The following is a 21,337-nucleotide window of genomic DNA, read 5'->3' on the forward strand; positions in this document are numbered from 1 at the left end:
TTCTTTTAAGTGCCAGACATTGTGCTGAACCATTTACACAAACAATCTCACGTCTCAAGTCGATGTTTTTATTTTCATCCTCGTTTTACAGATGAAAGTGGAAAATTCAGACCAGTGACTTGCCACATTCAGAGGAGTAACAAAGATACATAGCAAGTAGGCTGCAAAGCTAGGATTTGAACGTAGGCTCCAATACCTGCATCAGCTCCCTTGCACTGTGCACTCTTCCCTCGCTTGTGTGTATGGTGAGCAGAGTCAGCTCTGGGCAAAATGGTGAAATAAGCCAAGTTTGTCTTTAGTGTCTTCAGACTCCCAGTGTGTCTCGGGGACTCAGTACTACAGTGCCACCTACATGCTGCAACACCTACTATGGCTCCTACAGGCAGCCCATCCTGCTGAGAGCTTCTCCTTCCTAACTCCTCTAAGACCTTGACCTCTGGTTTGTGTTTTCTGAAGGTAAACTGCCTTAACCTAACCTTTTCCAGAGCACATATTATATTTATTGGTGCCTTCCCAGAAAGCAATCTTTAGCTTAGGAGCAGGTAGCTCCCACGGGAGGCATGTAGGTGTTTCTGTGTTGTGGTAAGGGGAAGGGGTTGTCTGGGGGCCTCTATCAAGATACACCATGGAGGCTTCTCCTACAACCAAAGGGTGTTTGGCCCCTTTCTCAGATGGCTGAGGGCCCTGGAGTCAGATCAATAAGCATTTGAATCTTGGCTCTGCCATTCACTGATTGCATGATTTCCCACAGTTAATCTCAGTGAGCCTTCGTTTCCTCCCCTGTAAAATGGATCTAATAATAGTTCTCATCTCCTAGACGTGTTGTGAGGATGACATGAGATAACACACTTACGGTGTCCAGTACAAAATAAGCATGTAAAAATGTTAACTGTTCCCTTAAATCAATTTTTAGTAGTCTTCTGCCTCACCCCCATAACCATCCAGGTCTCTCTTCGCTTCCTTGTTTCTCTTTTCCTCTTCTCACCAACAAGTCTCTTTCTTCAAAGTCTCCCTTTCCTTTCCCAACTCCCTCCCACCAGTACGCTCAACCTTTGGCAACCCTCTGTCCCACACTTTCCAGGTCAATCCCAATTTCAGATAATCTCTCTTGATATCAAACTGCATGACCTGATTTGAATCGGAAAACAGAGTGAAACAGAGTCCCTTGCTCTGAGGAATGTTGCTATGGTCTATCTTAGATCAAGAAGACAAGAGCTGCCTTGGCAGCCCTACATCATAATCTGATGAGCATGAAGAAGGCTCACCTTGCCTATAAATATTTGTTTTTTGCCTATGAGTGATGCCAGAAACCGTCATGGTCGGCATACAATTCCTTTGAGTCAAATTGCAAGGTTTGTCTGTCAGGGTTGCCTTGGTAAGGCAGGGTTATTATTTATATCTGAGTGCAAATTCCTTGATCAGAGCCTTTCCTGTCAGGGAGAGGAGACGGAAGGGTTCCAGGGAGCCTACTCCCCACGGAAGAGGAAGGCTGTGCTAGCATGGATGGGGTATGTGAGTGTGGGAGCTCAGCTGACTGAGAGCTGTGTCCCCGGCTCCATTTTGCCTAGGGGCGAGCCCTGTGTGTTGCAACAGATGTGTGCTTTGGAATCACCAAGGTTGGGAAGCCAGGCCTCAGAGGGAGTGGCTGGAGGCTGATCTCATCCTGAAATGATGTGGGCTTGGATTCCCAGAGGGTGGAGAGGAGGACCAGTCCAGAGAGAAGGACATGCTTTTGGAGGGAGGTCTAAAGACAAAAAGAGGGCTTTAGTTATTTTTTGAGCTTAGGTGTAGGTGATGGTTGGGGGTAAGTGACAAAAGAAAATAGGTCCTGAAAGGGGGGTGTCTCCTTTCATGATTAGGAACAGAAGAATGAACTCAAGGACTGCCCCCTTTTCTTCAGGAAGCAAACAACTTCTGAGGGTGTGACAGGGTTCACTGGGTGTTCCCCTTTAAGGGAGGTTAGCCCCTACGTGAAGCTGCTTGGCTGGTAGAGGATAATTGGGTGTTCCCCAATCCAGATAAGCAGAAGCTCAGGTGCCCCTCCCTGTAGGCTTTTCAGCTTTCTTTATCACTTGCTAGGCAGGCCCTGCCATCCTTGGGAGTAGGTATGAGAGAGGGAGTTGAGAGGCCAGGCTTTCCCTGCCCCTGTTCTTCACAGAACACAGCTGAAAAAGGAAGGCCAGAGATGTGACACCCCCCAGCCCCAGGGATTCTACCACACATTGCAAACCTCACAGAGGATGCTTATTCTACAAAATTTGTGGGCATATTCATAGGTACTATGGAGCTAAATAATTTGAAAACAATAACAAAACCCATTTACTGATTATTTGGTTAATAAAGACCTCATTCCTTCAAAGTATGTTGCTAGGAGCCACTGAAAGTGGACTTGACCTGAGGAGCAGCAAGGAGCTTCCTCCTGCTGTATACACAGACACACACAGACAGACAGACAGACACACACACACGCATGCGCGCACACACATGCACATGCCCGGATCCTTCTCCAAACACGTCCATGATACCAGGGCAGCAGAATTGGGGCACATTAGAGACACAGGCTCTGCCCACATTCTGAAGCTCCCTGTCATTCCCAGGTCTTGGTGCTTGGCCAGACTCCCCTTACCCAGACTCATAGCCTCATAGCTATCATTCCAAAACCCCAAAAGCTCTGGAAACTGAGAGCCTTTGTACGTTTATGACAAACTCATTTGGCAGCGCAACTTGAACTGACATGAGGTTATTTATAGTCTTTATTTTTCACACCCTGTGTGAATATTCATGTGTTTTTGCTCCAGAAATATCAATGTACTTGATTACTGGGTACTGCCTCAGACCCCACTGGAGGTGATATATATGTGCTGTATACACCCAATCGCCTTTTAAAAGTCCAAAGCATTCTGAATTCCTTCAATTATACTAAGCCTCCCACTGTCTTATAATGATCTGTTTGGCATGTCTCCCTCATTAGCCTGTGAACTTCTTCTCCAGTGCTCAGCACACAGTCCAGCATGGGGTGGAAGCTCGACTAATGTTTTAGGAATGAAGAACGAACAGTCTTTAGTGATTCCGGAGACTTGTTGTCATGTTCTTTCTTACATCTAAACTAAAGTACGTCATGCTACCATTCGTTTATTCTGTGCCATCAATAGCGAGGAAGAACAGTTGGTCAGGCTCCTTCATTTTTTTTCCTCTTGAGGCTAAATCGTCCTTATAATCCTAATACCTTTAACCTTTTCCCCTAGATCCTCTTTTCCAATCCCTTAATCGTCTTCATTGCTGTCTTCTGAAGTCTTTACAGGTTCTTTCCTTCCGAAATTGTGGCCTAGTGCTTAGGATAGGGCTGCAAAGAGCCCAGCTATTACACATAATAGGCCTCTGGTTTCTATGGTGCTTTTCCGATCAGTTTCATTTGGCTGGGCTAAGAAGCTTTGCCTTTAAAAATACACTCGCAGGACAAACTCCAGGGGCATGAACAACTTTCACCTGAGCATGCTGGTTGGTAATAGGAAGGGAAAATAGCACTGTCTGATCATAAGAAACTGTAATTACGAAAGCTGAAAGCAACAGGTAACACATGCAGTAGGCACCTGTATACAAAAACCACTGTTGATAATTACGGTACCTCAGCCTATTATTTTTACCTTGGGAGAACCGGCCTTGTTTGTGCGCATCATGTGCCTTTTCTCTCATAAGGTTGCTAAAGGCCATTTCTGACCACTTCCCATTAAATTCAGGGAGTGAACCTGACTCTGTCAGGGTTGCTGAAAATCACCGGATTAAGTTAAACTCACTAATTAAGCCTGTTAGACTTCCTGTAACTCACGATTTTTCTTGGCATAAGTAAAAACATTTCACTCAGAGGCAAAATGTGTTATATTAATAACCAGGAAACAAGAAAATACACATAGTAGCATTTTCGGAAGCAAATTCTGTCATCCGCATTCTGTTGAAACGGCCATTGTCATTTCTCCTAATAGCCTAAAGTGTTTACTTTTGGGGTGGAAACTATACATACTGTGATGGAGATTCAGAGATACGCTTTTGTCAGTTAAATTCGAAAAATATATTCAGGTGTGCTTGTTGTGTCCCCCCCCCCCCCAAGCATGAGTCAGAGCCTTTCATGGGGTTTTGTGTAAATGTATTTTCTAAGAGGTGCTGTTGGGATTTTGCATACAGGTCATTCTTTTTAAAAAGGTCACGTTGCAATTTTTCTATCCTTTCTTGTGTTGTTATCCCTCAGGGAAGAAGATGTAGAATGCCAAATTGCAAAGGGAGCTTGTAAAGAGGGGAACATTAAAATTGGATAACCAAGAGCTCCCAGAGAGGGCCTCAATGGCTGAAAGGAGCCCCTTCTGAGCAAATGGGTAGCAGCGTAAAAGCCAAATTAACCTGGGAGGAGAAGGTATGGAACTTTTGGAGAAACACTTTGTTTACCTCACCATCTTACCATATCCAGCTGGCTGTTTCTCCAAGAATGTTAGTGCTCCAGAAGGGAGGGAAACCTGTCCCCACTGCTAATAGAAGAGGCTGAAATTTTCTTTCAGAGTTTCCAGATGTCCTTGGCAAATGCTAGCAATAGTCATTCTCTCTCTTTTAATAATTATAATAAGCTGCTTTTTAAGGGAACATTAACTGTGTGGTAGGCTCTATGCTAAGTGTTTTATATAAGGTATCTCTATTAATCTTCACTATGATCCTTCCAAAAAGGTATTGCTATTACCCTCAATTTCCATAGGAGGAAACGGGCCCAAAGAAGTTAGACAACCTGGGCAAGGTCACCCAGCTAGTAAGTGGAGGAGCCAGAACTTAAACGCAGATCCACCTGACACCAACACCTGGTTCTGAACCATGGTGTGCAAGTCCTTGTAAAGTCAAACAGTCTCTTTAATAAGCTTGACTATATTTTCTCTTTTACCAAATCACAGAACATCTGGTCTGCTTAATTTTATGAGACTGTAATTACAGCAATGAAAAGGATGTTAGCCTACTCTGAAAACCCTAGCTGAAGGGCTTTCTATTGCTTTGTTTAGAGATTTGTTCTTTTCTCTCCACCTCCACCCCCGACTCCCCAAATTGGATAGTAAGTTCTTCAAGGAAGGTTCTGGAAAGTGGTTTTTTTTTTTTCTTCAAGTTCTGTGTTACATGTGCAGAACTTGCAGTTTGGTTACTTAGGTATACAAGTGCCATGGTGGTTTGCTGCACCCATCTACCCGTCACCTACATTAGGTATTTCTCCTAATGCTATCCCTCCCCTAGCCCCCCACGCCCCACAGGCCCCGGTGTGTGATGTTCCCCTCTCTGCTTCCATGTGTTCTCATTGTTCAACTCCCACTTATGAGTGAGGACATGCGGTGTTTGGTTTTCTGATCTTGCGATAGTTTGCTGAGAATGATGGTTTCCAGCTTCATCCATGTCCCTGCAAAGGACGTGAACTCATTCTTTTTTATGGCTGCATAATATTCCATGGTGTATGTGTGCCACATTTTCTTTATCCAGTCTATCATTGATGGACATTTGGGTTGGTTCCAAGTCTTTGCTATTGTGAATAGTGCCGCAATAAACATAGGTGGGCATGTGTCTTTATAGCAGCATGATTTGTAATCCTTTGTGTATATGCCCAGTAATGGGATCGCTGGGTCAAATGGTATTTCTAGTTCTAGATCCTTGAAGAATCTCCAGTGTCTTCCACGATATTTGAACTAATTTACACACCCACCAACAGTGTAAAAGCATTCCTCTTTTTGGTTCTGGAAAGTCTTATGCTCCTCTGCTTTCTATAGTTCTCATAGTGCCTGGCATGTAGTGTGTGCTCCATAAATATTGACTGATTGATGAATGTGTGGATGTTTCATGCAATAGTTTTTGGGTTGTTCAACACCATTTCTTAATGCTAAGCAAACAGGTTAGAACCTTCAAGATGTCTGTTGTCTTAATCTAGTTGCTTGCACTGAGGTAACTTTTTAATATCATCTCTGCACAGGAGCTGAATGCCTTCTTTGGCACCTGGATGATTGATTGTGTTTTCTCCTTTTCCTCGGAAAGCTCTGGTATTGCGCAAACGCTGCTTTAGGTGATTAACAATGCCGCCAACTTCACCAGTCACCTTTGCAGACAATTCTTGAATTTTATAGGAAAGTGGGAACCTGTTTAAGTATAGTTTCTAGTTAATTCTGCTTCCCCATCCTGGTTTGCTCAATGCTACATAAAAGATTTTCTTTGTGGAATGAGACAGAATAGAAAAAATAAAAATACATTCTCAATGGCTGGGTGAAGAGAGTCCTTGAGATTTTACCAGCTTGGTATTTCTCACTGTTGGAACTTCAACCCAGGATGCAGATTCATCCTAGTGAGCCTCACAGGAAACTCTGCCTTGGTCTAGAAGATACAGTGCAAATATATAGGATAGGACAGGTAAGGTCAGCAGAAGCCACTTTTCAGCACATACCATGTGATTGCTAGAATAATACAAATAACAACCATTTACTAGCAGATTACTATGTGGCAGGTACTGTGCTAAGCATTTTCCAGACATTCATTATTGTTGCCATTTTTCCAGGTGAGCAAACTGCAGCTCAGAGAGTCTAAGTGAATTTCTTTGTCTTTAAGCAGTATGAGATAGACCCTGGACTTGAACTCAGGTCCATCTGATTCCAGAGTACATAGTCCTTTTGCTACAGTGCTTTGCAGGGAGCTGTGCTGGCTTCTCAAATGGTTTGGGGCTATCTGTGTGAGGCTGACAAGAAAACTATTTAAAGGCTGGTAGAAGAGGGCCCTAACAGAAGGTCTGACTCTCATTTTCTTTCTATTTGCAGAAGATAATTCTTTCCTGTTTCAATATCAGAAGGGGATCTAGCTGAAGGCAAAAGGCCACAGGGTTCTGGTGAGGCACAAGTTCAAACCTTGCTGTAGTTGGACCTGTTCTACTGACTATCAACGGCCTGGGTCTGTGGGTGATCATAGTGTCAGGGGGCTGGAGATTGGAAGTTCAGAGTGGAAGAGCTGGCATATGCCGCAAAATGCACCCTGTTGGGATGGAGCAGGAAACTCAACTGCAGCTGAGTTTAGTGGGGCACCCAAAGAGAGTGGCAACAACAGGTATCAATTTAGAGAAGCACTTGGCTTTGGTGAAAGCAGAAGTCCTGCCCAGCCTAGCTGAACTGAGCAGGAGCAGGTGAGGCTTAGGAGTCCTGCCAGGTGCTAGTAGCAAGGATGGGACTCTAGTCCTTGGAGGCAAGGGTGAAGGAGTTGGGAGCCTGGGAAGAACCAGACAAAATCCCAGTTCCACAGAAACTGAATGACTAGACTGGTGGCTCTCAACTGAGACAATACTGCCCCCTAGGGGACTTTTGGAAAATGCAAGAGGGTATTCAGAGGACTGGAAATGGGGATGCTAGATGTTCTCCAACGCCCACGACAGACTTGCAAAATGAAAAATAGTCTAGCATCCCGAATAATTTTTGAATGTTCTGCTGGACTTCCATGGAGCTGAAAACTGCTTTTCTAATTATCTAAACTTTTACTATAAATGTTTTATACCTAAGCATAAAGGGTTTTGCTTCCCCTGCCCCGACCCCACAGTTTTAATCAACTATTCTGTAAAGATATGGAAGATTACATGGTTACAGAGGATCACACAGACTCATTCACCATTTCAGGAAATCATGTCAACAATTGTGATGTTGCTTTTGGAATTAATCAATATAACATATCAGTTTGTGTCCATAACTGTTGCATTCATGGGGATTCTATATAAAGGCACAAGCTTCTGACTACTTCATTTAATCATTCAATGTAGTCCTGTGTGAGCATTTACAGAGTTAAATACATAGTGTTTTATTATGTATTGCTTTATTTTCTCTTTATGTGGCAGGACATATAGCTATCTTTTTGAACTTATGCGTGTAGGTAGGTTATAGTACCTAGAAATTTAATTTCAGGATAGTAAAGGGGTGAAGCAAAAGCAGATTTATTATAAAAGAGAGGATGTTAAGTCTGATAAGGTTGAACACCACTGTGCTAGCCTGATGGCTTCGTGAGGGCCAGGACCATGTGTTTTGCTTCCGTTTGGCCTAATTAACTGAGGTGCTTATAAATAATGAATAATGAATGTGGATGCAAGCACACAGCTGGAGTCAGGCATGTAGGTCAGCATAGTCGGGGTATATAAAACTGGCAGGAGATGGGGACTTTTTTTTTTGAGACGGGGACTTTTGATCACCAAAAGAAGGCAGGATCCCAGTTATCAGAAGAGAAACCATAGTTCAGAGTTTGCCTCAAAGCTAGAGCGTCCTAATGTCAAGGCCCAGGGCTTCCTACAGTCCTCTTATCTTGAGACATGCTGGAGCCAAGGGACTGACGTCAGATGGTCCCAGTGGTGAAGAGAGTTGTGTTTACATTCTCACTTGCTGGTATCAATCGTAGGGGCCCAAAGACCTCACTACCTAAAAAGAGGGCTGTTTTCCAGCTTAGCTGTACCTCTTTGCATTGTTTTGTCTGGCCAAGACAGAGAGGATACCAGGGAAAATGAGGCTCGAGTATTGTACGTATAATCTGTCAATGCCCTCCATGCCCCCATTAGGATCTCAGGCTGTCTTGGCCTTCAGGCAGATCCAGCTCCCCCATTTTTCTGTTGTTGCTGCTGCTGTTTTTTTTTTTTCACTCCCCTGATCCCATCAATAATACGTGTACTCCTTCCTTCTGGGTCCTGTCCTCAAAGGTAACTGCTAAATATCTGACAAAGGAATGGCTAAAGCCTTCAGGGCTCCTGATAAGAGAATGGGCTCCCACTTAGCAAGAAGGGCAGGGGGCAGCACCTCACTTAGAGATATGGTACATAAGTACAGAGGGAGGTATTGAACCACCTGTTGTCAGGAGCAGAAGGGACCCTGAGGTCATCTGGTTCACTAGATCCCAAACCTGGCTGTACAATGGAATTACCAGGAATGCTGTTGAAATACAGATGCAGTGTGGCTCCTAATCCTCAGAGTCTGATTCAGTAAGTCCGAGATGAGGACTTGAATTATCTGCATATTATTAACAGTATCACTGGTGATTTTGATGAGGAACCCAGTTAGGGAAACCACTCAGACTGACTTTCTCGTTTTATGGGTAGCCAGCTGAGTCACCGACAGGGATGATGACTCGCCTCGGGTCACAGAGCAAGTCATGGCAGAGTTGGAAATGGAACTCAGGGTTTTTCCTCCCCTGTATTGGTGGTGGGACGATCTGACATTATTAGTGTGGGAAGAAGGACCTTAAATTTCACTGTACAAGCTGCTGCTCACTCTGCCTAGAGGTAGAGGACAGAGGGCATCTTAAAGGTTGTTTTTCGTTATAATAAGCAGTACATTTACTTCAGAGTTTGGAAGTGAATCAACAAAATACCCATCAAGATTAGTAGGACAAGAGGAACTCGCCAATATCTTTGACGATGTCTATCCATAGAAAGCCAAGTGAAATAATGGAGGTAATTATCCACCTATTTTCTTTGAACACTTTGACCGAAAATCTCCTGGTAACTGAGGGAAAATAGGAGCTTTTAAAAATTGTTGTCTCAAGTAGCCTGAATGACTTCAACTCCCACTTTACTTTTCTTTTTCTGTGGAGATGCTCTCCCAGATGCTTGTCTCCTGGGGGTAGCAGCTTTCCACAGACAAAATGTCCACAGCTTTGGGAAGCATGGAGGGAGAAGGGAAACATTAAGTGAAATGGGATGTCAGGTCAAGCTGCGTTGGTGGTGATGTAGTCACCTGTCGTTTCAAGATAACCTTTTGGATCCTAGATATGTCGTAGCTGGGGCCTTGGGACAAGTCCCAGCAGCCTCCAAGCCACAAGCTTATCATTTTGGCGCAATTCAAGGCAGCCTCCTTGAAAAGCTCCACGATGGCAGCTGCTCCATCAGCAACTGGATGAAAACAATGCCAAATCTCTTTATTTAAAATTAGGCACTTCCTATTTTGGTTCCTAAATGGCAAATCTATCTGCTCTCTGCCTCCAGTCTTCTGTGTCCAAAGCTGCCTTAATGTGAGGTATTTCAGCAGCGATCAGCAAGTGTCTTCCTATTTATAAGCAGCAGAGCTGCCATGGGTCACTGCACTTGTATCTCTGAGCAAGAGAAGTCAGGGGGCCTATTGGAAAGGAAAAATACTGTGGCCTCCGACAGTGAACCTTGGCGTGGGTCAGGGAAGACTGTTCAAGTGCACCAGAGAATGGAGCTGTGATGAGTTCAGTTTTGTATCACTGGCATGGAAGTCAGTAGCCTCAAGATCTGGGAAGAGTTTGGTCACCACTAATTTGCTACATGACCCTGGGCAAGAGTCGTCCCTTCTCTGGGCTTCAGCCTCACCATTTCTGGGGAAAAGGATGCACCATTTAATACATGGTGCCATTTACTGTGACAACCGGCCTGCCACCAAAATATAAAGCTGAATCTTTATCTCACTCCTTATTCCAAAATATAATCCAATTAGGTCAGATTTAGATGTTAAAAAGAGAAACCATTAAAAGATTAGAAGAAGGCATAAGAGAATATTGAGGTAGGGAGTCTTTGCAAAGCAACGAGAAACTGTAGAATCTATGAAGAAAAAGAATGATAGATTTGACTATGCAAAAATTTAACAACCTGAGTATGGTGAAAGATATCTCATGCAAAGTGGAAAGGCAACATATAAACCAGGATAAAGTCACAACATAGAAGGAAGACAATGGTTTATTATTCAGAATACTCCACCAGCTCCAGTGTAAGAAGTGCATTATTTTCTTTACAGCACTTACCATGATTTACAATGACATGATTTAGCTACTTGTTTTTCTATTATTTCCTCTGCTTACATGTTAGCTTCATGAAAGCTCAGGTTTTGCTTACTCACTATTATATTTCTAGTGCTAGACTGGTGCCTGGCATACAGTAGGTACTCAATAAATACTTGTTGAAGGAAGGAATAAACGAGCTTCTGTAGACCAATGAGAAGATAATGAACAATTCACTAGAAAAATGCTCAAAGAATAATGAACAGGCAATTCACAGAGGAAAGGCAAAGGGCCTATGCCCTATTAAAAGGAACACCAATCAGTAATAATTAAGAAATGCAAATTAAAACAATATTGAGATGATTCAGATGTCAGCTTTTACCTCTCAAATTGGCAAAAATTTAAAAGGTCACTAAAACCCAGGGTTTGTGAGAATCTGGTGAAACAGCACACTCATTCACTCTTGATGCACATCTGGAGGGCAACTGGAAATGTTATTTGAGTCAGCAATTCCTGTCTTAGGAGTTTACCTTTGCAAAATGCTCCATGTATAAGGATGTTCATTTAAACATTATTTGTAAATAGGAGCAAATTGAAAAAACTAAATGACCTCGGTGAAGGACTGGTTAAATCATTTATAATACATCCCAATAATGACATACTAAGCATTACTATGCTAATGATTAAGAGTTTGAGCCTTGGTTAGACTGCCTAGGTTTGACTTCCTCCTCTAGCTTTTATGAGCTGTGTGACTTCGACCAAGTTTCTAACCTCTCTGTGCCGTTTCTCATCTGTAAAATGGGAAAAGTAACAATTCATGAAGTTGTGAAGAGTAAATGAGATAATTCATATGAAATATTCAGATAGGACCTGGCACAGAGCATTTAATAATTGCTACACATTACTATTCCAACTACTAGTATAATGATGACAATGACGATGTAGCCACAAATAAAGACAAGCTAGATCTTTAAATACTGATGTGCAATGATATCTCCAATATAGTATTGTGATAAAAGCAAGTTGCAGAAGAGTAAGTATAGTAGGATCTGATTTTTGTTAAGGGTATTATATGTTACACATACAGGAAAAGACTGGAAGGATAGACAGACTGTCAACACTGGGGAGTAGAATAGGAGAGGTAGATTTTCCCTTGAGCAATAATTAGAGTTGTTTGAAACTAGCATGTGCTACTTTTATAATAAACAAAAGATGTAAAGGGAAAAAAAAGCTCCGTTTGGAATTCCGAGGACAGTTAATCCCACCAGGCTTCACATCCCCCAGTTCTTGGCCACAGCCCAAACGTTAAGCCTCCCTGCTCGTCATCTGTCCTCTCCCATACCATCCTCATACTGCTCAGTGCTCCCATCCCTGCCACCCCGACTCATCCACCTCCCCACTACCGCCCTCTCTCACTCTTCTCAGTACCCTCTGGAAGCCCCCACCTTGCAGTAAACAATTCCCCCTACACCCTGGATAAATTTTACAGAGCACTATTGTCTACCTCCGGGCCTGGAAGTGCTGAAACCTGAGTCTCCACGGCGGATCTCACGGCTTTGCCACCAGCGCCCTCTAGTGGACACTGTCCACACTCCCACACTACAGGCACCCTAGGGCTGGGAGGTGGGGTCTGTGCTCTAGCTTCCCCTGTTTGCTTCCAGGCTGTTAGTCCTCCGTCCTCAGCCAAGAACTCCTCCTTCTCATGCCATCTGGCTACTTCTCTCCTCGTTGACGCTTCTTTATAACCATCCCCTCCTGGTCAACCCCCCCCCACCCCCACATTCAACGAAGAGTTCGACATCTGGCTCATTGTCTTCTTCTCCACCCCAAGTCCTGACATCATTCTGGGTGAGTTGGACATCCGTGATCCATGTACAGGACACACTCTCATCCTAGCCTTACCATGCTTCATCATCAGTCAGAACCCCCTACCATCTACACCTTGCTGGCTGGCCTCAACGCTCTTCTTTTTACCTCAGGAGGCTCTCCAGTTTTTTGAGCCCCCTCCATCCATTTCTTCCATCCCATCAGCCCCTTTCACCTTACTACCTTCCCTCTCCATCCTGGAACATGATGATGATGATGATAAGAATAACAACTAATATGTATGTGCCAGGCATATACTACCCATCTTATGACATCATTTCAGTAATCTCATGTTATCCTCACAATAACTTTATGAGGAAGATACTATTGTGGTTTTCCTTTTAATGAGGTGACTGAGGCTCAGAGAGGTTGAGTGACTTACCCAAAGTCCCACAGCAGAGATGAGATTTGAAGTCAGGTCTGTTTGCTTTCAGAATCTTGCGTATATCCCCAATTCCCTTGCCCTGTGTCTTTCTGCTGCATCCATGAGGCAAAATCCTAAGTCTGGATAAATTTAACTGACAGTTTCCTCCTCTGTGCTTATGCCCAGATGGAGGAACATTGCTGGAGAAAATCCCATCACTTTGTTGGTTAGTCCCACCAGAAAGTCATAGTTTCCAACCTCAGCGGGGCCCTCAACTCAGCTAAACAATCCTTCTAAGTAACTGTCCTGACAATAGCACTTGCAAACTTTCTCCACTGCCCTCTGGAGTCAGACTGTCTGGGTTAGAGTCTGCTTTGGCCACTTCCATGCTCCATACCATGCCAGCCTTTAAGAAAGGGTGAAGTGGAGGAAAAAGGATGAGGGGAAAGGGGAAGTGATATGTATCGAGTGTCTTCTAGGTACCAGCCACTGTGCCAGGTGCTTTGCATGCAGTGTTTCATTTAATCCTGCCAGCAGCCCTGCAAGGGCAATACTCTTGTTATTTTTGCTTTACAGAGGAGGAAGCTGAGGCACAGACAGGTTAAGTCACTCACTAACGTGACACAATTTGTATGTGGAGAAGCCATCTCATTCGTTTAGACCTTCCTTATCTTGATGAATTATTGTGACAAGCTGATAAATGGGTCCCCTGTTACCTATCTCATGCCCTACAATCTACCTTCCATTCTGTTGCTGGGACAATCTTTCTAAAATGCACATCTGACAGTGCTACTACTCTGCTTAAAGTCCTTCCAGAGCTTCCCCTCAGTCTTCAGAATGAAACAGAAACCTTTGATCTTAATGATTTGGCCCTGTCCTTCCTTTCTCACTGCATCCACTACCACTTGCCCATGCAGTCACACAGTACTATTTTTGGCCACCTGATGACACCTTGCTTTCTTCTGAAGAAAGAAGAAAGCATATATATATATATTCTCTGCCTCCCCATCCTCCACACCCTTTCCTGCCCACTTTAAATGCTCCTCTTCTGTGCTTTCACAGCATTCATGTTTATCCCAGTGTGTTATAATTTCCTGCTGTCTTCTCTGTTTCCCCCATTAAACTGGAAGCATCTTGAGAACTGGGATTGTGCCTTAGTCATCTCTGTACTCCCCAGGGCCGTAGCACCAGAGCCATGGTTAAATCTATGTTTGTTGAATGACTGAATTAATGAATGAATAGAGTGAATGAGAGAAGAAAAAGCTCTCACTTGGAAAGTTTAGTGACATGAGCTGTATGGTATCTGATTCTTGGCTGAAGCTGCTGCAGTTTTTCCCTATGACTACAGTGCTATAAAAATATGTCTGCACATGGATAAAGACTGGAAGAGAACTTTCCACACAAAACTAAGAGTTGTGTTAGAGTGGTGAGTGATGGATGCTTTTTTCCCCATTTTCAAAATGTTCTTTAGTGCTGCTTTTGGATTGTTTTGGCAATGTAGCAGACATTGTAGAAATGGAATTTGGGGCTCCCATGGAGGAATCGACAACCAATATGTATTGATGCCCAGTGTACTCTGCTGGGTTCTGGGTGCTGTGGGGAGATGGGTGGGTAAAGGCGACTCATTCTGACTCAGGTTTGCATGGTCAGGAATCTTGCCAATTACGTTGGATTTGCTGGAATAAAAAGATAACTTTCAAGAATTTTCCAAGCTCCTGGGTTGAGGTATTTCTTTTCTCCCAAAGCTGGGCCGCAAACAAAGATGGCTTTTGTTTGCAGTAAAATACTCATTCCTTCAATTTTGTCCTGCAAAGTGACTTCTATAGCTTTGGGAGTCAGGTTTGCTGAGTGGGGAAACTGATTGTCCATGCTTCATTGATTTAGAAATGACCAAAAATGTTTGCCTTTTCTGGCTCTTGAATAAAATGTTTAGGAATTTCATTGGCAAAATGATGAAATTGTTCCCTTTACTGCTGCAAGACTTCCAAAACTATATATCGTGGGTTAACTTAACCCAGAAGAGGCAAAAAAAAAAAAAAAATGGGAAGCAGACTCAGATGATTAACACTCTGCCTTAATTGGGTGCTTACTCACTCTGCCGTGGCAAGGCACTGTGTTCTGGACTTTGGAGATATCTCATTTAAAACTCTCAACAGCCTGTGGGTAAGGGACTGTTATTGTTCTCATGGTAGAGATGGTCAAACTGAGTTTCATAGAGGCTCAGCTCTGAAATCATGAGACCAGGATTTGAAGCCGAGTTCAGCTGGTTCCATGGGCACACACTAACCATTTGGCAACAGTGCCTCTAGACTAGTCTGGCTACAAAGGGACAGAGGTATGTATTTATTTTGATTTAACGAACCGTTGTTTAATGTTTACCATGTCCCGGGCACATGGTAACTGCTTTAAAAATGTTAGATTATTTACTTCTCATAGACAACCCTGTGAGGAGGTACTATTATTAATATCATATGACAGGTGGGAAAATGGAGGCACAGGGGTGTTGAATCACTTGCCCGGGGTCACTCAGGCTAGCATGTGACAGAGCTAGAGTTACAATCCAAGTGGCCATGTTCAGGTGTGTGGCCCATTACCTTGACTCTGTGCTGGTTAGCATGCTACCCCCTGTGCCCTGTCTGCATAGCTCTGGCTCAGAAACACTGAAGACATGGGCCTCTTTTTGTAGTTTTGTAACAGATTTGTACTTTTTAAAGTATTTTCCACCATTAAAGCCATACGCTCTGCTTCTAAGCGTCCTGTGGGGTTGGTGGGAAGGGTGAAAACATACTCCTGTCCTTCTATAGCAAGACTAGCTTAGAGGCAAGGTGGCCCAGTGGTTAGAGCATGCCCATGGTGCCAGTGAACTCAGCTTCAAATCCTGGCCTTATGATTTCAGAGCTGAACCTCTCTGAATGTCTGTATCACTATCTTTGCTAAAGGAAGAGGAAGCTTTCTCCCGATATCTTCATTTACTTCCAATTTTCGGTTTTTGGGGGAGAGCTGGGTTTCCTCCACAGCTAGGCGCTGGGTGGCGAAGGGCTTTTGGACTGTCACTACTTTTCATTCGACAGAGACTTCAGGATAGCCCCCTTCAAAGGCAGTCTGTTTGGGGTCATCAGGAACAGACAGAGTGCTCTTCCCTACCGCACTCATCCCACCTAGTGCCATCTATCCTTACCCACTCTGAATCCCTCCTCTCGGCAGGCACTGCCTCATTCCCCAGAGCCAGGCCTAGACAATGGCGGCTGCTCAGCTTGGAGGGAGGGGGAGTGAAGAGGCAGCAGGCCCAACCTGCCAGCTTGAAAGCTTCATTTGACAGGGGAGGAGGCACATCTGGTTTGGGTTTTCAATTCAATTCAACAATGATTTATTGTGGGTCTGCCAGCTGCAGAGGTTCTGGGCTAGGCTAGGCAGCAAGAGATGCAAAGATAAGTAAAATATTGTCTGTGCCCTTAAAGGAGTTTTCTAGGTTGTAGGGGTGTGCAGACGCAAATGAGCATTTTTTTTTTATGCGATAAGCCCTGTGCTTAGCAGTTTACCTTGCCTACATTATTATGTCTTTGCATCTTCCCAGCAGGTTTTGTGATGGAGGTGGGTAAACTATTATCACTTCATTTTATACACATGAGGAAACAGAGCCTCAGAGTGGAAGAGACTGGCCCAAGGTCACATTTTTAAGAATGGACCAAACCAGTTCTGGAACTATTACATTCTTCTGCTCCCCAGAGGTGATGAAGATGATGATGATGACAAAAAACACTTACTGAGCTCTGGAGGCCAAGTCTTGTGCTATGCAGGCTGCAGATATTATTTTACTGGCAACTTCCAACATCCCATTGAGGCTGATGTTGTTATCCCTTTTTCTAGAAGAGAAAACGGAGGTAGCCTTGGGAAGTGATGGAGTTGGAATTTGAAACCAGGTCATTCCAGTCCACCAGCCTGTACCATAAAAGAGGTAGACACAGGGTGCCATGTTCAGGGGCAAGAGCAATGAATTGTGCCTGCAAAAGCTTCATGCCAGAGATGGCATTTACATTTGGCCTTGAAGGGTGAGATGGGGTTATGATTGGTAGAGTTGGGAGAGAGGGCATCCCAGTCAGAAGGGATATTCTGAGCAAAGAACCCAAAGAGATGACTTGTGGAGCATTTTGATTGAGAGGCTGTAGGTTCATCCGGCATGCAGGCCGGGGACTCTGGGTGTAGAGGAACAATGTGAAGGAAACCAGAGATACGCCTGATGGTCTAACACATTTTTGTCAAGTTGAGGTTCTTATTTTTTTAATTAAGAGCAGGTACTCTGCCCCAAAGGCTTTTCAAATGATACTATCTTGCAACCCATGAGCAAACACACTCGAGTCTCTCACTGTGTAAATTCTACTGTGCTGAGAGCTGCGGTGAATACAAAAGAAAACAACTCAATTCCTCAAGTGTGTGCCGATGGCCCCCGTGTGGTTGAGGAGGCAAGATACACACAATCAGGAAAAGCAGCAGCTAGCATAGGCAGTTAGTGATCAGGGCCAAATGAGTTTTTCCAGCCGTCAGATTTCAAGGAACATGAACGAGAGGAAGGCCGGCAAGCTTAAGGCCGGGTGGGGCAATCAGTGTAGCTAGCATTAAGGGCTCTGGCCAGGCCTCCCTTCCCCAAACTGCCACGGTCTCCAACCATGTCTTGACCTCCCAGAGTTTGTTAGGGAAGATGGGACCTTATGGGATCAGAGACAGCGCATGGGAGCTGGGAAACGGAGCCGAATACCTGATATTCCTGATCCTCCAATTTTCTACACTTATTCTCATTTCCTGGCAGCTCCTCCAGCTGCTGAATTGTATGTGTATGTGTGAGCCGTATTTTAAATTAAGCAGTGAGTTCTTTCAGCTCATCATAAACATGCTAAAAAGCTTCAGCCGCGGCCTGAGCCCACCCCCGCCCTTTACACACACAGGCAGCAGCTGGGGCCACTCGACCCCACACTCTAATGTGCATTGCCTATGACTCACCAACAAAAACGACTGTATGTTTCAGTCTCCCTGGGTAGCTGATTCCTAGTTGTGGTGGGAAATCTCAGTCCGATTTGGAAGGCAAAGGGCCTCAGCCCCGCCCTACTGACTGTGAATTCTACAACATATGGAGCGCCTACCTTGTGCAAGGCATTGTGGGTAAGTCCATTCATCTCTCTGGGCTTTCCATTTCCTCAGCTTCAAAATGCATGTACTAATCCTGCCGGCTTTACCTCCCTCCTAGGGCTCTGTGTCTCAGCCACACTGGTCTTTCAATTTCTGCAACATTCTCGGTCTTTTCTCGCCCCAGGGCCTTTGTTCGTGCTCCTGCCTGGACTGCCCTTCCTCTTGCTTTTGGCATGGAAGGCTCCTTCCTAACCTTTCAGTCTCAGCTTAACGTTACCTCCTGAGAAGAGCCTTCTCTGACCACCCACAGTTAGATGCCTCCTGTTCCTCTCTTACATTTCTTTTATTAGCAATGCTTCCTTAACCCCATTTACTGCTCTGGGTAATTATGTCTATTTATATTTGTCTATTTATGGTATGTCTCTCCCACTGGAATGTAAGCTCCAAGAGGACAGGGACCTTGTCTGTGTCACTCAGCAATGTGTCCCTCTCCTCTAGAGTGGTGCTTGGCACATAGTAGGCTGACATAAGCAAAACCATCTGGAAAATATTTTCTTCCTGAGGTTCTTGCCAGACATATGGTTGCTGAGGGAAAAATTATGGCAGAACTGTGTCATTCCATAGGAAAAAAAATCAGGCTAAAAGGGAAGAGTTTGTTGAAAACAGTTCTGTTTTAGAAACCAGTCCTTGGAGTCTCATCGCCAGACACAGTCTTATGAAATTAAACAAAAGAAATAAAAAGCATAAAAAGCTAAGTTTTTATTGGGTATTTACTATGTGCCAGGAACTGTTCTAAGTGTTCTACACAGATTATCTCATTTAATCCTCATCATAACCCAATGACGTCAACTCTATTATTAGCTCCATTTAACAGATGAAGGAATTGAGGCTCTGGGATGTTAAGAAAAGTGCCCAAGGTCACACAGCTAGCAAGAGACAGAACCAAAAGTTGAACTCAAGGCAGTCTGAGTCCAAGTCCACAAACTAAATCATCTATGCCACCTGCAGCCCCCACCTCATGTTACCCTACACCTCCCACGCCACCCCCAGGCACGATTCTACTACAGCACTGGCCACATTGCAGAACAGGGGTTTGTTTACTTGTCTGTCCTTCCTACTAGACGAGGAGCTTCTCAAGTGCAGAGACTGGATCTTATTCATTTTTGCTTCCCCTGTGCCTGGAAGAGAGCTTGTTCTGGAATAGCTAACCAAGGAATATTCGTTGAATGAGCAAATGAGTGAGGGAGTAAGTGAATCCATATTCCTTAATATTTTCAGGCTTCAGGCTTATGGGCTCATGTGTATTTCCCTGGTCAAGCATAGCACTGGGCACAAGGGTATTCTGGTGCAAGAGGTGCCTCTCACCACAGGGTACAAGAAGGACTAGCTCTGGCTGGGTAAACCAAAGCAGTGTTCCACAGAGCAAGGGGCTTGATCCAGAAGGTTTCATTTTGTCATCGGTCTAAAAAGTAGCTGGACCTGTTTAGGACTTAAACAAACTTTCAGTGTTCCAATCCCATCTCAAATCCTTTGCAGAATGAGGCAGGGTGTGGGGAGGTGGTGGTGGGGCAGTTATAAATAAACAAATACCCACAAACCGGCTGGTTTTTTAAACAGAATTTGCTTCAGTCAGTGCTGCACCACATTTTCCCAACTGGCCTCCGTCGTGAGAACAAGTGGGAACTTTCATACTGAATGGCTTTATTTTTATTCTGACCAGATGAATGGCAGGAGTTTTGGCTCGGGAGGCAGGTTTCCGATCCTCAGCACACAGTTTGCTGCCCTACTGTGCCCCGTCCATCACACACAGCGCCCTGCACAACATACCCAGTCATTGCATCTACTGCCTCAGCCCTTGAAAATAATTGGGTCATTGTTTTATTACACCAGCGAGAGAGCTGCAAGCCTGTTAGGATTATGTCATTGATATTTGCGTGAAAAGGCAATCATGATATGCTGGTCATTTAACACAGCTGGGAATGCAACTGTGTTGTCATTGTTTAAGGTTCTCATCCAGCCCCTCTGACTTTTTTGCACAGCCCAGCCCGTGAAAATGGATCACTCTGATGTATGTCACCTTTAAAATGCTTTCTAGCCCTTCAAGGGACCAAGCAGGATTTAACTCTTTTCATGCACTTGGACTTTGCTGCTTGTAGGCACAGCAGTCTGAAGGTGAGAGATGCTTGCTTTTCATACTTGTGGGAGTTGTACACCCTAGTGGCAGGATGCTGCCATACAGTGTCATTTGTTCACTAACTGCTGATCAGAGCCAAGGACAATTTTGGCTCAAGAACAAATGAGACCTAATGTCTGTGAGGGAAGACTATGTAGATAAGTCACGGGTCAGAGTTGTGTTGCGACTTGTATTGTGTGCTAGTTTCAGTAGGACTTGTGCTTTCATTGCAATTGTCAGTATGCTTAAGCAGGGGTCTCTGCTAATGAAATTCGAGCATATTTGCATTTATCGACAGGTATTACTGATGGTAGAACATCTTATTTCCACACAAGGCAATGAGTAACATTGATTATAGAAGTGTAAACAAAGCTCAAATTCATGTGCCAATTTGTCTATTTCAACTCATCGATCCTCTTCTTCCACTGGCATGCTAGCCTGAGTTTTATGGCATAAGGCCATTAAAGTATTCTTCAAAGGAATCTGTTGCAGACACCTGTTCATCCCTCTTCTGGTCCCGGTCCTTGCCAAACCAGCTCTGCCTTTGCCAACCACCTTGAGGTGTGACAGGAAAAGCTGACCCAATAAGGGAGTCAACTGAAGGGATGGAGTGGCTTAGATGCAAATGGCCAAATCCCAATGGCCATGGCTATAAGGAACACAGGTTCCTGAAGTTTTCTTGGCAACTAGCTCTAACTGCTTTGCCTTCTGAGTGCTTTGGTATTTGTTTTATTCTAAGTTCCCAGTTTTGATCTATTTTTGCCTTATGGCTGCAGATTCCCTTTCTGGAAAATGGGGCTCTGGCTGGGATCAAATCAGAGAACACACCCAGACTTGGCATAGTGCCTGGCACAGAGTAAGTGCTCAACAAATGGTAGCTGTTGTCTCTTTTTCCCTGTCCAGGTTTCTTCTGGTTCTGTTCTCTGTACCTCCAGTATTGGCCCAGAACCAGGAACTGTTCCCTCCCCTGACTGGCAAGTCAGATTACCTGGCCCTCAGACAAGCTGGGCTCCCTTTTCTGGCAGCCTTTTGTTGTCCTTACCTGTTGCCATGTGCCACTC

At 44.3% G+C, this 21,337-nt stretch overlaps 2 protein-coding genes across 11 annotated transcripts in view, besides 2 other annotated features; one reads left to right on the plus strand and one right to left on the minus strand.

Moving 5' to 3' along the window:
• Positions 1-21,337, minus strand: part of AMMECR1 (AMMECR nuclear protein 1) — a 246,048-nt gene that overhangs the window by 206,814 nt on the left and 17,897 nt on the right. The gene's annotated exons all lie outside the window — the stretch shown is intronic.
• The window catches only part of RTL9 (retrotransposon Gag like 9), a 97,487-nt gene that overhangs the window by 42,152 nt on the left and 33,998 nt on the right, over positions 1-21,337 (plus strand). For 3 of the 10 annotated variants that reach the window (XM_047442284.1, XM_047442283.1, XM_017029695.2), the window contains exons 2-3: positions 18,003-18,136; positions 20,143-20,275. The exons of 3 other annotated variants lie outside the window; for them this stretch is intronic. The gene's annotated coding sequence lies outside the window, so the exon portion shown is untranslated. Of the gene's footprint in view, positions 1-18,002; positions 18,137-20,142; positions 20,276-21,337 lie in introns of those variants that run through there. 4 more of the 10 variants (XM_047442285.1, XM_047442288.1, XM_011530999.3 and 1 more) reach the window with 2 other exon arrangements.
• Positions 7,029-7,078: an enhancer, noted in NCBI's record as "active region_29855". NCBI's record gives its function as "activates an Ori minimal core promoter by ATAC-STARR-seq in GM12878 lymphoblastoid cells {active_cell/tissue: GM12878}" and the evidence as "EXISTENCE:reporter gene assay evidence [ECO:0000049][PMID:35858748]".
• Positions 17,329-17,829: an enhancer, noted in NCBI's record as "H3K4me1 hESC enhancer chrX:109661556-109662056 (GRCh37/hg19 assembly coordinates)". NCBI's record gives its function as "activates a minimal SCP1, AML or CMV promoter by ChIP-STARR-seq in naive H9 embryonic stem cells {active_cell/tissue: H9 hESC(naive)}" and the evidence as "EXISTENCE:reporter gene assay evidence [ECO:0000049][PMID:30033119]".

The sequence above is a fragment of the Homo sapiens genome, chromosome X, assembly GCF_000001405.40.
Source record: "Homo sapiens chromosome X, GRCh38.p14 Primary Assembly".
NCBI classification, from domain to species: domain Eukaryota; kingdom Metazoa; phylum Chordata; class Mammalia; order Primates; family Hominidae; genus Homo; species Homo sapiens.